The following is a 14,036-nucleotide window of genomic DNA, read 5'->3' as shown; positions in this document are numbered from 1 at the left end:
ACCACACACCTAAAACAGAAACTTTGGATGTATTTATTTTAAAAAAATTTACTCAGCAAATACATTCATATACACTTACATATTAAAGCAATTATTTAAACCTAATTGACACATCCACCTCTCTCTTTGAACAGATTATTATGTTGCTGATAATAAACAGCTTTTTGGCCCTGTTTTAGTTTTGGAAAATCTAAAAATAGAGGATTATCCAAACTACCTTATAGTTCAGTCTTTTCGTCTGAATTTGCAAAGAATGCATGAACTCAGAGTTCTATTTTTAAAGCTTGTAAACACATATTTAGAGTAAAACAGAAATGAACAGATCTCTACTTCTTTCTTTTTTCTTTTTAAATTGCTGATCTGAGAGAAAAAAAATCACTAGCATGCTTGGCATTTCTGCTTACTGATACATACAGGAAAATTGTGTTGAATTTTTTTCAGACTGAAGAATAGCAAATCTATGGTTGTTTTTCTTTTTTGTTTACATCTCTTTTGTGGCAAGAATGAAGATAATGACCCAAATATATACAATACTTAAATATTGTCAGATATTCGTCATATTTATATTCTCTACTGACTCCACTGTCCATAGTGATTTAATACTACATTAAAGTCAAACCTGGGAGGACATCATAAACAGCTCTTGTTTAAAGGGCATTGTGAAGGAGAGCCTTTAATCTGATTGATGAAATAAATGGAAAGTAATCTATCCTCTATTCAACAGCTTGTTGATGATATGAAAGAATTCCTACTCAAGCAAGCAAGGCTTTAAAGAGAAAGACCTCTTTCATCCTGTCAGCCTCTCATTTTTAGAAAAAAGTTAAGTTTTTCATCATGGTTCAGGGGAGTCCTTGTAAAACGTTCATTGAAAATTTAAGAGCAATTACAGTGTCAGACAGCTAGAAAAATTGCTTTTACTGAGTGAGAGTTCTCTGACAGATGCATTGTGGGAGAATTGATTCTTTCTAAGGGATAAGTGAATTGTCATTGTTAGGCTCTTCTCATGACATCTAGCTAGATGTCATCTGCTTTGTAACAGAAGATTTGAATCAGACAACTGTACTCAACACTAGACAGTGTCGAGATTAGTTCTGCAAAGAAATAAGGCTTTGCTGTGCATGGCATCAACTGAGCTTTTAAAGATTACAGATGAGCAAGGGTTTCAAAAAAAAAAGTTAGAAAAATCAAAAACAAAGCTTTATAGCCACTTCAGAAAGCCTGGATGTTTAACCTGTAAGGAAGTCTGTCAAATCCTTGTGGAAACCATATAGAGAAAAGATCAATAGGATACCTACTGGCTCCATTAGCTTGATGTAAAAGGGGGCGAGGGAAGCTGCTCTTCCACAAGAGAAGCTACATTATTCCAGGGATTATGCGGGATCAGTTCACTTTGCAGAGAAGAAGAAGAGAAAATGAATGAAGATTCTTGGTGGGCCAAGACTGCAGAGAAAGGGCTTGTCAGGTAATATAACTGGTGATAAGAAAGTGGCTTATTGACTGGGAGGTGTCTCTAATTAGATGTTCATTTGCATAGGGGAAAGTGCCAGTTCTAATCTGGAGTGAGGGTAGAGGAGACAGAATCAGAAAAACGGCTGTCACTCAAATCTGCAACAAGCTAAGTCTAACATAATTAGTAAATTGAATACTAACTTGTTATTTACATTGACTTTTAAAGTGAAAGTATATACTTGCTTTGGAAAAATATGCATTTTAATCAATACAATAACTGTCCACATCTTATAAATCTTCACAACCTTATGCACATTAACCCGTGGATTAGAACTAAAATAGCTAAGCACACATGGATAAAAAGAGTATACCTGATGTTTTAAAAGGATAAAAATTGAAAAACAGTTTTAATGGTTTTAGAAAGATTATTTTAAAGCAAATTATCTTAATTGTTATATTATTTTATATTATTTATTATAAAAATTATTTTAAGTAGTCTTCTAAAAATATTATTCACAAAATTGGCTTTTGAACTTTTTCAGTTAAACTTAGTTCAACATGGGAAATCCTATTTGGTGGGTAAACCACAACTAATTTTTATCTGGAGGAGATTGTTAGCATTGAACAAAATATATCTGGTTATCCACAGAATTGTTCAAAAATTATTTAATTTTTGTATAATTGTTTTTCTAGTTCCCAATAACAATTATGCACTTAAAGTCCTACAACTTTAAGATCATATTTTTAAAAATACTATCTCAGCTTTAGCAAAATAAGCAAAAGAGTAACTGCCTTTCCTTTCTTTAACCTAGTTAATTTATCTTTATTTTTTAATGCCATTAAATCATTTGTAAGAATCTATAGGAACACAAACTGTCAGCACAACATTTGCAAGAAAAGCTTTGTCTTCCCAAAACAGTGGCCTAAGTCTCTATTCCTGTTCTGAGCATTCTTGCCATTTATGTTTCCCTGGAGCCATTTATCAATGTTTATATGAGTCCTCAAATGAATTGATAATGATTCAAAAGGGCAAACTTGAATTCTGCTAGTGGAGTGCAGTTAAAATTAAACAACACACAAATCTGACTGCTTTCATTTCTGGTATTTTCCTTTTAATATCCCTACACATTTGTTTCACTCAGGTTGGCAAAGTGCATTTAAGTAGTTTAGCAACAACTGAGTTATTTCATGTGTCTCCACCCTAAGCAGCAATACATTATTCAGTGAACTGCATGTGGAGAATGGTACATTACCTAGTCAAAGGTGTTACAATTCAAAATGTTTGGCATGATCAATATCACAATATACACTAAGTTTAAAAGAACTTACTTGATTGCATAGAATTTTATAAGTGTAAATCTGACAGTGAGATAATGTGGTTAAACTAAATGCCACAAGCACACAAAACTTGCATCTATCAGATATTTAAAAACTAATAGGGAAAGAAAAAAATTTTTTCAGCTTTCACAGAGAGCATTCCTATAGGGTGCTTGTATAATAAGATCACTTACAGTTAGGAAATGACAGAAACAAATAATATAATACAGTATTTTATAATATATTACAAAAGATAAAGCTGATTCAAAATTACATAAATAGGTTCATACAATTCTTACACATGAAATTTGTTTATAACTTGTTAGAAAACATTGCAAAATATTTGTAGTCCCAAAGTAAAGGCACTTAAGGGATTAGAGAAATGCTTGGTCATGTGATCTGGGTGCTCCTTAACTAACAAATGTGAAATATGGAACAGATATAATCAAGAGGCATGTATTCATCAAGAATTGAGCAATTTAAGGCTGCTCAGGTGAAGGCAAATGAATATATTCACAAAATCTATTTTATCAATGAGCTTAGCAATTCATATGAAATATGTTGTGATCATGCATTGTGTTAAATAACATCAGTCTGTTTTCAAGCAGAAAATAAATTTCACTTCCATTTATCTTGTTAGGCTCATTTTACCCCAAATTAACTATTTCTGACCATAACTATTAACAAATAAAGAATATTATTATTCTCCTTTCAGATGTATTTAAACATACTTAAATGGTTAGAATTCTTAAGTTTTAAACACTTTATGAAAAAAGCAAAAGTTGACTTAAGAAAATAATGAAACAATATAATGATTTTAATAACTACAGTTAAATTTTCAGAAAATAATGCTTATTTGTTTACCTATCACCCTTCATACACAGAAAGAATCACTAAATATTGGTATTGATGGTGCCCATCCTTATCAGTCCAATGCCCTATATAACAACAGTTGCCACTGAGATCAGATGTGTTGCATTTTACTCTCCCATTGCCATTGGCAACCCCTATCTTAGGGGAATGTTCTGCAATTTATAAAAGGCATGGCAGATTTTTAAAACTCTCTCAAATGTGAGATTTCTAAGGTGACTACATGTTTATTAAGACACAAAATAAATGTTGTGTAATATTTATGGTGGGAATGAATGGCTTTCCTCCAGCATTCAGCTGCTCTAGTTGATGTGAAATAAGTCATCTGTATCGTGTTTGTGTAACTTTACCATCTCTGGCAAAGCATATTATCTAGTGTCACATTATGAAAGTCCCAGTAGAGCAGGCTCTTTTCTTCCCAATATGTATAGAAGAATTACTTTAATCTTTTTCTTCTATGTGAAAAGATAAATGTTATCTGCTGTATATACCTGATGAAACACTTATCTATTTTGATAATTAATGAATCCATTTGAAGCACACATTATACTATCCATCTTTTGTGGTTCACATACGGATGACAGTGTGATTATGTCTTTGTGAGATAAGCAAATGTATGTATTCTTAGGTCATCTGGCTTTTAAAATACCAGCAAAGTAAAACTGTGGCAAATTAGGTTGTTTTTGTTCATCTTGATGTCACATTTGGTAGTTCCTTCTGTCTCAATAAATGATGGTGTATTACATTATAATTGATAATTTGTAAAACATTAAATTACACCAAATTTAAATATATGAATGATTAATTATTATTTCATACAATTATTTTATGAAATGTATAACATAAAACATATCTCTGGGTAGGTTTGATGTAGATATGAGCAAAAGATATAGTCAGCCTTATTTACTCATTTGGGAAAAGAGTGTTAAAAATGGAAGACACATGGACCTCCAGAGAGTTCCACTCATGCCGATGAGCAATGAATGAGAACAGTTGACATTTTTAGCACTGTAGCCCTCCACTGTGAGTAAGTACAACTAAAACTGTAGTGCTTGCCAGCAGAGCCATGACCTCCAAGGCATGAAGAACACTAAAGTATGTTTAAGAGCCAGAGATTTTTAATTTTAAACTTAGAAAATTTTATATTATTTTATATTATTTTATTTTACCATACATATTCAGAAGTGTCTAGAAACCTAATTTTCATATTAACGGTAATAAAGTCCTAAAATGTATTTTTCATTTTTTGGGGGATGGAGTCTCACTCTGTCACCCAGGCTGGAATACAGTGGTGTAGTCTCGGCTCACTGCAACCTCTGCCTCACGGGTTCAAGCAATTCTCCTGCCTCAGCCTCCTGAGTAGCTTGGATTACAGGCTCCTGCCATCACGTGCAGCTAATTTTGGTATTTTTACCATGGGGTTTTGCCATGTTGGCCAGGCTGGTCTCAAACTCCTGACCTCAGGAGTTCCACCTGCCTCGGCCTCCCAAAGTGCTGGGATTACAGGCGTGAGCCACCATGCCCAGCCTCTAAAAAGTATTTTTCTAGCATACTCTCTCCATCCCATCATTTAAGCATTGTCCTATTCTCTAAAGCTTCTCCCTATGTTCATAGAGACCTGTTGCCCCTTTGCCTATTTTCCTGTACTTGAAGTAAAAAAAATGCCATCTGCTGGAAACATAATAATGTTCCAGAATGTACTATAAGTAGAGAGTATAAGGGGTATAAGCAGTAAAAGTATGTCAAGCTAAAATTTGTATCAAGAACCAGACATCAAATTTTGAATTAAATATGCTCTTAAAAAATACTTTTTTTCCTTTTTATCATATTTCCCACTGTGTGTTCTGGAAATTTCTTTCTGTAGCCACACTCAGGATGTGATACGCCTGTCCATACCTACTGCCAGAATAGCACTCACGTAATTCAGTTGAAATCAAAGACAAAAGGCAAATTATGCTAAATTATCTTTAATATATTATGGAAGCTGTAATGTCCTTTCATTAGAATATATTTTATATGGGGGAAGAAGAGGGCTCTGAGACTTACTAAATGTCTCTTTTAAGCTACTTCTGCTGTGCACACACAATAACTTCGATTTTTAAACCATTTAACTAAAATAATGAATTTCTTCCCCTTGAATCAATCAGTTATTTTGGCCCCATTTTGGCAATGGAATGGGAAATGACTAGAGGAAAAGCAGGTTAAACTTTGAGCATTTTCTACTTGAGTAGTTTTGTTATCATCTTTTGTCTAAATGGCATGCCACCATTGGGATTTGCTTTCCCAAAGTGATTAAAGAAATGCAGAGATAGAAGGAAGGGAGCTGGTTACACTAGTGATAACAGGCTATCTCTATGGGTTATATTTAAAGTTGTGATGACACTAAGTTCCTCCCTCAAAAATACATTGTTCTTTGTGATGTGGCTTACAGACTTGAAGATTGACCAAAAAATATACAATATGATGAATTTCTTATGTATTTGTAAATTAATCTTTTTCAATGAAAATCAGTCTCTTATAAGGAGAGGAGATTTGCTATAGTTTTAAGTTACACATAATATCACATTAGAGAATGTCAAATATTTTTTAATGCTGATCAACAAAAACTTAGGCTATGAAGAATTTTCCAAAGTCATTTGGCTCATCAACTTTATTCAAAGAAACTCCAATTGGACAATATTTCAATGAAACTCATGTTGGAAAATGCTATTCTATTTTAGTAGTAGGTAGAGACAAATTATGCATACATAAATTAACTTGGGGTCGGGGAACCAAAACATTCACTCACAGTGCAGATGGTTTTAAATTTCTTAAAAAGTGTAAAGCAAAAGAGTTTTCCCAAGGGCTAGACCTTGCTACAGAAAATGTTTTAGAAGTTAAAATTGTAACTGATAGGCATGGTTTAATTTCTATATTTCATGAACATCAGGGATTTAGAGAACTACCTTTTTTCTCTCTACTTCCATGTCTCTTTATCAGACACTTAGCACCATATATTTCAAAGTAGTCTCTTTGCCTCCAGTTGCTCCCTTATCAAAATCTACCCTACATAGTATCATAGTAAACTTTGAGAGAGAGCACAGTTTTTTTTTTTTTTTTTTTTTTTTTTTTTTTTTTGGAGACAGAGTCTCACTGTGTCGCCAGGCTGGAGTGCAGTGGTGTAATCTCGGCTCGCTGCAATCTCTGCCTCCTGGGTTCAAGCAATTCTCCCGCTTCAGCCTCCCAAGTAGCCAGGACTACAGGCATGTGCCACTACACCCAGCTAATTTTTTATTTTTAGTAGAGACAGGGTTTCACCATGTTGGCCAGGCTGGTCTTGAACTCCTGACCTCAGGTAATCTGCCTGCCTTGGCCTCCCAAAGTGCTGGGATTACAGGCATAAGCCACCGCGCCTGGCCGATACCACATAATTTAAGACAATGTATAATTAGAGAATAAGAAAAATAGAAATCACCATGTTCTAGAATGCTTATCAAAGCTCCTCAGGAAACGTGGACTTGAGTCAAGCCATCACACAAATGTTAAAGTAAAGATATGCTTTGGTTAGGAAGATGCATGAGAAAATGTCCTCTAAGGACAATAAATATATAAACTAAAATGATGTGACAATGTGACCGCAGTGTGGTTTTTGGTGTTAATTTTTAATATTTGAAGTGTTGGTGAAAGCCTGAGCTAAATATGAATGAGGAGAAGACTCTGCTGCTGCTGCCCTTCCCCTGGGCTCTTCTGCCTTCAACAATGGCTCTTCCTCAATTTTTTCTTTAACTAAGAAGATAATAATGAGATTCTCATCACTCTGATCCTTAACTTGTGTCAGAATAAGACATCCAATGAAAAGGATTCTTGTCTCTAACTTTGCAAATAATGTTTGGATTTGAACTATGTTTTCTCAATAGCCCTGCCTATTTCTGTCCCCAGAATTATGCAAGAGAGGCAGGGCAATGTGTGCCTGGATCTAGTTATTAGGAAAGATTTATAGAGTGCCTTGGATCTGAGGAGTAGAACACCATCTGGGCTGGAACCTACAACCTCAAGGACTTTCCCCTTATTAGTCAAAAAAGAGATGTTTCTGTCTATGTTCTGTGTCACACTTTCAAATGCTCTTTAACCTCCACTCAACCTAGCCATGAGTAGCTTGAGATTTAGGTGATGAACTAAATCAGGTTTACCTAAATATTGTTTTATAATCATAGTGTCCTTTATAAACTATTGGCAATTAAGCTGTGTTTAAATGAGTAATATAAATTTAAGTGGTAGTTTCCTTAATCAGTTTAATTAATTAAAAGTTGAGTAGCTTTGGTTGTAAATCCCTGAATTTCCTCATTCCTCTAATGCTATGCCTTTCATTCACTACACACACACACACACACACACACACACACACTCACTGCCCACACACACACTCACAAAGCACTTGCCATGTAGCCTTCAGAAACCCTCAGGTTTCCAGAACTAGCCTGCTATGACAACAGCCGAAGGAGAGACTTCAAGGGTGAAGTGGTCCTAATATCCCCAGGAATTACAAATACAGTTCAAAACTGATGGAAAAAAATAGAGACTAAATTCTGACTTTTATTGTTAAGAAATAACGTGGAAATTTGCATTAGGTGACAATATCCATTACTCAGGTTCAATGTCCAAACAGTAGAAAGAAGTTTCAAGAGGGAGAAAGTGCTCAATTGGTAGGGTAAGTGATAGAGATGAGAAACTGACGGTAGCTGTGACCACAAGGAAAAATGATTCACAATAGGGTTGGTGGAAACAAAAGCAACAAATGTTTCTTTTTCCAACCAGTGCCAGGCAGCAAATTACAGACACTCTGACAATGGAAAGTGTTAAAAAGATAAAAGATAGAGCAACTTGGCACTTGACTAGATAACTGGATGCTGGGGAGCAGCGGCCAATTGCAACCTGATACATATTCCCTAAAGAGCTTTAATGTGTCATCTGCAGGCGTGCCAATCACTGAGACTCAGGAAGCTTGAAGACACAGGACTGTGCAGTGAAAGACACACAGTGCTCAGTAACACAAACACGGGTTTGAAAATCGGCTCCATTACCTAACTAGCTCTGTGACTTTAAGCCAAAATCTCAAGCCTCAATTTCCAAATATGTAAATTAAGAATAATAAATGATATCTGCCTTATATGGTTATGATAAATAATAAATAAAACCACATATGTTTAGTACAAAACCAAAAGCACATAGTGAGTGCTCAGAAAATAATGTTCTTATGTTGTGTAGCTCTGGGTTCCCTGCCATTTATTAGAACTATTGATTTTTATTATGAAAAGTGTTTTGGAAAATGAAACAATAAATTACTGTTTAGTGAATTTATTAATTAGAAATAATATAGAACATATACAATGTAAATGATCATTTAAGCACAAACTGCAGAATTTCATTTATTTATTTTTGAGACCATTTATTAATTCAGTATCTGGAAGTAGGTATTCAATGTGAGTGCTTTAGAAGATAACTGTAGGTTATCTTAATAGTTATAATATCTTTTGGCCATTTGGTATGAAAAATCCTTGTAAGAGTATAGTCTTCCACATTTTCATAGTAACAGAGTCAAAATAATGAATTGGAGTGACTGTTTTAGGGGAAAATATAGTAATGCTATAAATGCTACAGATTACTACCATTTGAAAGTTTTTTGTCCGATTTCAGGATTTTTTCCTGTCTTTCATCCTTGCATCCCACCAATCATTAATACTGGTTAGTCTATCTGCCTCCAAAATTCAACTCAGTAAAACTGCAAAGCATATATACAACGGGCCTCTAAATACAAATGTGTTCATTCACAATCATAACTGTCATTCATCAGCTACAGTCTAGAAAATCATAACCACCAAACTTCTTTGGATTTTCAGTAAAATATGAGTCCGTAGGACTTGGTGAATGTTTGTATGAAGACAAGTTTTGGGAAGCTACACAGACTTTGGTGTGGAGAGTGACGAGATTTATTTGTCGTGTCAGGAGACATTTTTTTCCTTATCTGTAGGTTCTTAGCTGTGTTCCAGATAGGTGAGTACACCAGATGAATGACCCCAGCCAAGTGAATTATAACTACCTATTTGCTTTGGTTTAACAACAACAACAAAAAATTGCTTGTCTGGAAAATATATCATTTTTTGTTTCTGAAAGCAAATCTATTTTCTATTATATTTGCAGAAGGGGCTAAATAACTCTGTAAACTGTTTTATACATCAGCTTACATATAAGTTTTCCAAAGTATTTCTAGAGGGGAAAGAAATTGGCAAAAATTCATGGCATGTAGAGATCACTCAGACAGTTTGGAAATTTATATGATTCTTTACAATAGGTCAGTTGACTGTGTCAACATAGAATAGAACAAAAGATAAATCTTTAAAAACTCTGTCTATAGAGTACACATACATGATATAATATTCTGCTGAGCTTGTAGGTTTTACATCTGCTGCTTAGAAAGTCCCTTGACCTTGAGTTTTGGCAATCACTATGAATAAGTTTGTATAATATCCATACTGAGTCGTAGAAATTGAACCTGTGTGGGTGAAACAGGTCAGTGTCTTCTACTTTCTCAGACACATTCCATACATCCTGAGTAATGTAGTGCAAATTTGTTGTTCCTAAAACACCCATCTGAACATGTCATTCTCCTTCTTAAAAGCTTATAAAGATGAAACATGGTAGAAGTTTCTTCATTATCAGGCCACAGATCACCATCTAGATCCATCTCTCACCATAACCCCTGTTCACCCCAACTTGCCACACATCAAAAAGCCACCCTCCTCCCTGGCCATATCAAAGTGCTTAGTTTCCTGAACGCTCTGATAGCCTTTTGCCGCCATGCCTTTAACCATGTAGTTTCCTCTTCCTAGAATTCCCTTCCTCAACCTCTTTGCTAATTCTGTTATGCTCTGCTTCTATGTCCCCAGGAACTTTGCAACTGCCTGGCTATTTTCTACTTGTCTTTTGAGTATTAATTCGGATGTTGTATGTTCTAGGAAGGCTTTCTAGCCATTCCCAATTTGTAGTTTGATTCGGGAATCCTCTTATATTCTCCAATAATTTCTTATGCTTACATTCATGCTACCCTTAAACGATATAGTACAGTCTACTTCTCTTTACTGGCATTTTCTCTATTAAATTACGAATGTGCTGCAGTCGAGATTATATTTTAGTTGTCTTAATTTTTCTAACACTATGTGCTGTATAGTAGATGCTCTATAAACTTCTGTTAATTTTGTGAGTGAATCTAGAAGAAAAGAGGTAATGTTAAAGGCAGTTAAAGAAGTCTTTTATTTCTTCTTTCTTATTCCTAACATTTTTCTGAAACAAACTAGCGTATAAATTACTGTCTAAATTTTATATTTTATTTGGAAAGGCTAATAGGCATCGACTCCCTTAGTGCTCTCTCTCATTTTAAGAAGTATAAAAGAGTTTCAAAGACAGTATTTTCTTTACTTCTACAGTGAGTTAGATGCTCATGATTCTGGAGAAACATAAATTATATTTACAGAGGAACCATAACAAAAATGGAAAAGGAAGAATGCAAAATACAATTATGCTAACCTCACAGCCAAAACCAGCGCCAAATGAAGTCGTAATTAATTTAGCCAGTTGTATGTATGTTTTCCTCTCTCTATTTTTCTATTATAAGAAAGTGACCTTTCAATGAGAAAGGGTAAAATTGTATTGATTTGAAGGCAGTAAAACAAACGAAATATAGGTGATTTTTGCATACCAATGTTACTGAGAGTACTATTGAACTATTTTAGTGGTTATGGAGAGAACATAGGGTATATTTGTTTTCTGAGATTTTAAAAATAATGATCCAATTTTAAAAATAATGATCTATTTCTTCAACCACAAATATGTGACTTCATTATCAATATTGAGAGAAAATTCTGGACTGGATTTTAAAACCATTTTTTTGGGCATTGAGAGGGAGCTATGACTACTGGAGGTCAGCAAAGAGGAAACAAATGGATCAGGAGCACATTTCATTGTGTACAGTTACTATCCAGATAGAGAAGGAGACTTCTATAGATTTAGTGTATCAGAATTCTTGCAATACACTTGACAACATTTCTGATGATATTTTAGTGATTACAAGCCATATGTGTGATCTAGGTGGTAAAACGATAAGTTGAAAGTGAGACCATTCCCAAAGAGTGCTTATTTACAGTTACTTTTAGTATAAACGGAGATGTTTTTCAGGACTCTACCCTCAATCTTGTCTACTCAACATCTTAAAAATGGGTTGGATGAGAATGTACATTAACTTTGCTTTTTGGCCCAGCTATTAAGATTAAGTTAGAAAGGATAACAACAGCAACAAAAACTTTGCAAATTTGAAAGTGAAAAAACATGGAGATTATAGTGTACTGTGAGCCTAATATGAATCAATAATGTAAAGGACTTCTCAAATAGCTAAATAAACCTTGGTTTGCAATAAACAACCTGGGTTACTTATCAAGTCTTAAGCACCACATTCTTTAAGAAGTATTCAAATACTGGGTCATGACTAGGGGCGGTGATCAGAATGGGGATAAAATCAGTTTTGAAGACAGCAGAAAATAATTTCATGGATCTAGAAGTAGAATGATTGTTCCCTTCCCATACATAAAAGATTGTCATAACAAAGAGGGATTGTAACTGTTCTGTGACACCCCCATTCAGCTGAACTGAACTCAAAGGGTGAAGGCCACAAAAGACATAAGCATAATGCACACACACATACATACATGTGCACACACACATACTTCCTAACAATCAGAAATCAGAACTGCCCAAAGATAAAATAAACTTTCATGGGAATTAGAGTTCCCAGTTGGAGCAGGTTTCAAGTAAACTTAACGAGTAATGAAAACTATATTGGAAAATCATGTGCCAGGGATAATGTAGAAGAAATGTAAATATTTGCTGGAGTGGAAAACAGAAGAGTTTACTTAGATGACCTCTAAGAGCTCTTCTACTGAGAAAGATTATGTTTCTCTATAAAATAACAAGTGTAGGAATAGTAAGAATAATAGTAGCAGTAGTGGAAGTATTAGTCATACATTTTTTTTTTAAATTGAGTATTTTCTATTTTCCATACTCTGTGCTTGGATCTTTATAACCCTCACAACTAACCTATTATGTCAGTGCTATTATTATGTTTAATTCATAGGAGGGAAAGTGGAGGTTTAGGGAAGATACTAACTTGCTCTGGAACACACTGAAAGAGTGAGTCAGGATTTAAACAAAGGAATGTGTGACTCCTGAGGCTGCCCTTTCACCCAGTACTCAGTGCCAAAGAGGTAAATTAGTGAGCCCGAACTTCACAGCACAATCATACAAAATCAAAATCTGTGCGGGAGAGGAAGTCATCAATTGCCTACATCAAGGAAGAAATATTTGTCTCTAACTAGGATTACACACTGATTTGGACTCTCCTGCACATACTAGAGAACAGGGCAAATAATGTCAGAATGTGTGAAAGTGAACAAGTTATTCCCATGAGTCTGTTAAGGTTCTTAGAAGGTCCATTGATTAGCCCTAAGAGTCTTAAGGAAAAATCGTTAATGAATTATTACTAGAGTATACTAATAGGACCAATGTGGACTATGAAATTTAATTTTTCTCCCAAAGAGCTTCACCTGTATTTCAAAGTAATTGATAACAATGGAAGAGTCTGTAATTTTCCTCTCCAACCCCCATTTCTCCACACAAACACACACACACAGAGGAAACTATTATGTTATTAGCATAATCATTAATTTTTAACTGGAATGTAATTGGCCAATATTATTATTTTATGGGTGCAGAAACAGAAACAAGGAGAAATACATTAGTATTCTCTACTTCACCAAGCAAATAACTCACGTATTTAGGAATAACATTCAAGTTTATAAATGAATTCAATAAGATTTTATAAAATGTTTCCTGTGCTAAAGATGTATGAAAAAACAAAGAAATAGAATGTAGAACGTACTCCTTGCACTCAACACACTCAGACACACACACACACGGGAGCAAAGCAAGAGAATATTAAGTACTAAGAAATCATTAAGTATACCTATACATTTGGAATTATTAACCAAAAGTAAGAGAAATAAGAAAAACTCTTTGGAGAGCATGATTTTGATGCATATCTAAAGAACTAGAAAATGATTGTGCCTGGAAGAAAAACATTTTATAAGCCAAGGAAATTTAAATAGCAAATATTCTAAAAGGTCAAAGAAAGATGACACAAAAAGAGATGAAGAAGGTTGTCGTGTGTTTAAAAAAAAAGAAAGGGGATGAAATTCCTCATCTCTTACATTCCATTTCCATCCTTATAAAACTTCACTACTACTCACCATATACACAATGCACATTCCAGTAGATTATCTAACTGTATGAGTCACTCTCAGCCCTGAAAAGGTTTT

The 14,036-nt window shown here is 34.4% G+C and overlaps 1 annotated feature.

The window, feature by feature from the left end:
- Window positions 343-1,778: an enhancer, noted in NCBI's record as "VISTA enhancer hs543". NCBI's record gives its function as "enhancer in: ear[7/7]" and the evidence as "EXISTENCE:transgenic organism evidence [ECO:0001131][PMID:17130149]".

Source organism: Homo sapiens, chromosome 5 (assembly GCF_000001405.40).
Source record: "Homo sapiens chromosome 5, GRCh38.p14 Primary Assembly".
NCBI lineage: Eukaryota > Metazoa > Chordata > Mammalia > Primates > Hominidae > Homo > Homo sapiens.
Note: the sequence above shows the minus strand (reverse complement) of the source record. Positions and strands in the feature narration are given on the sequence as shown.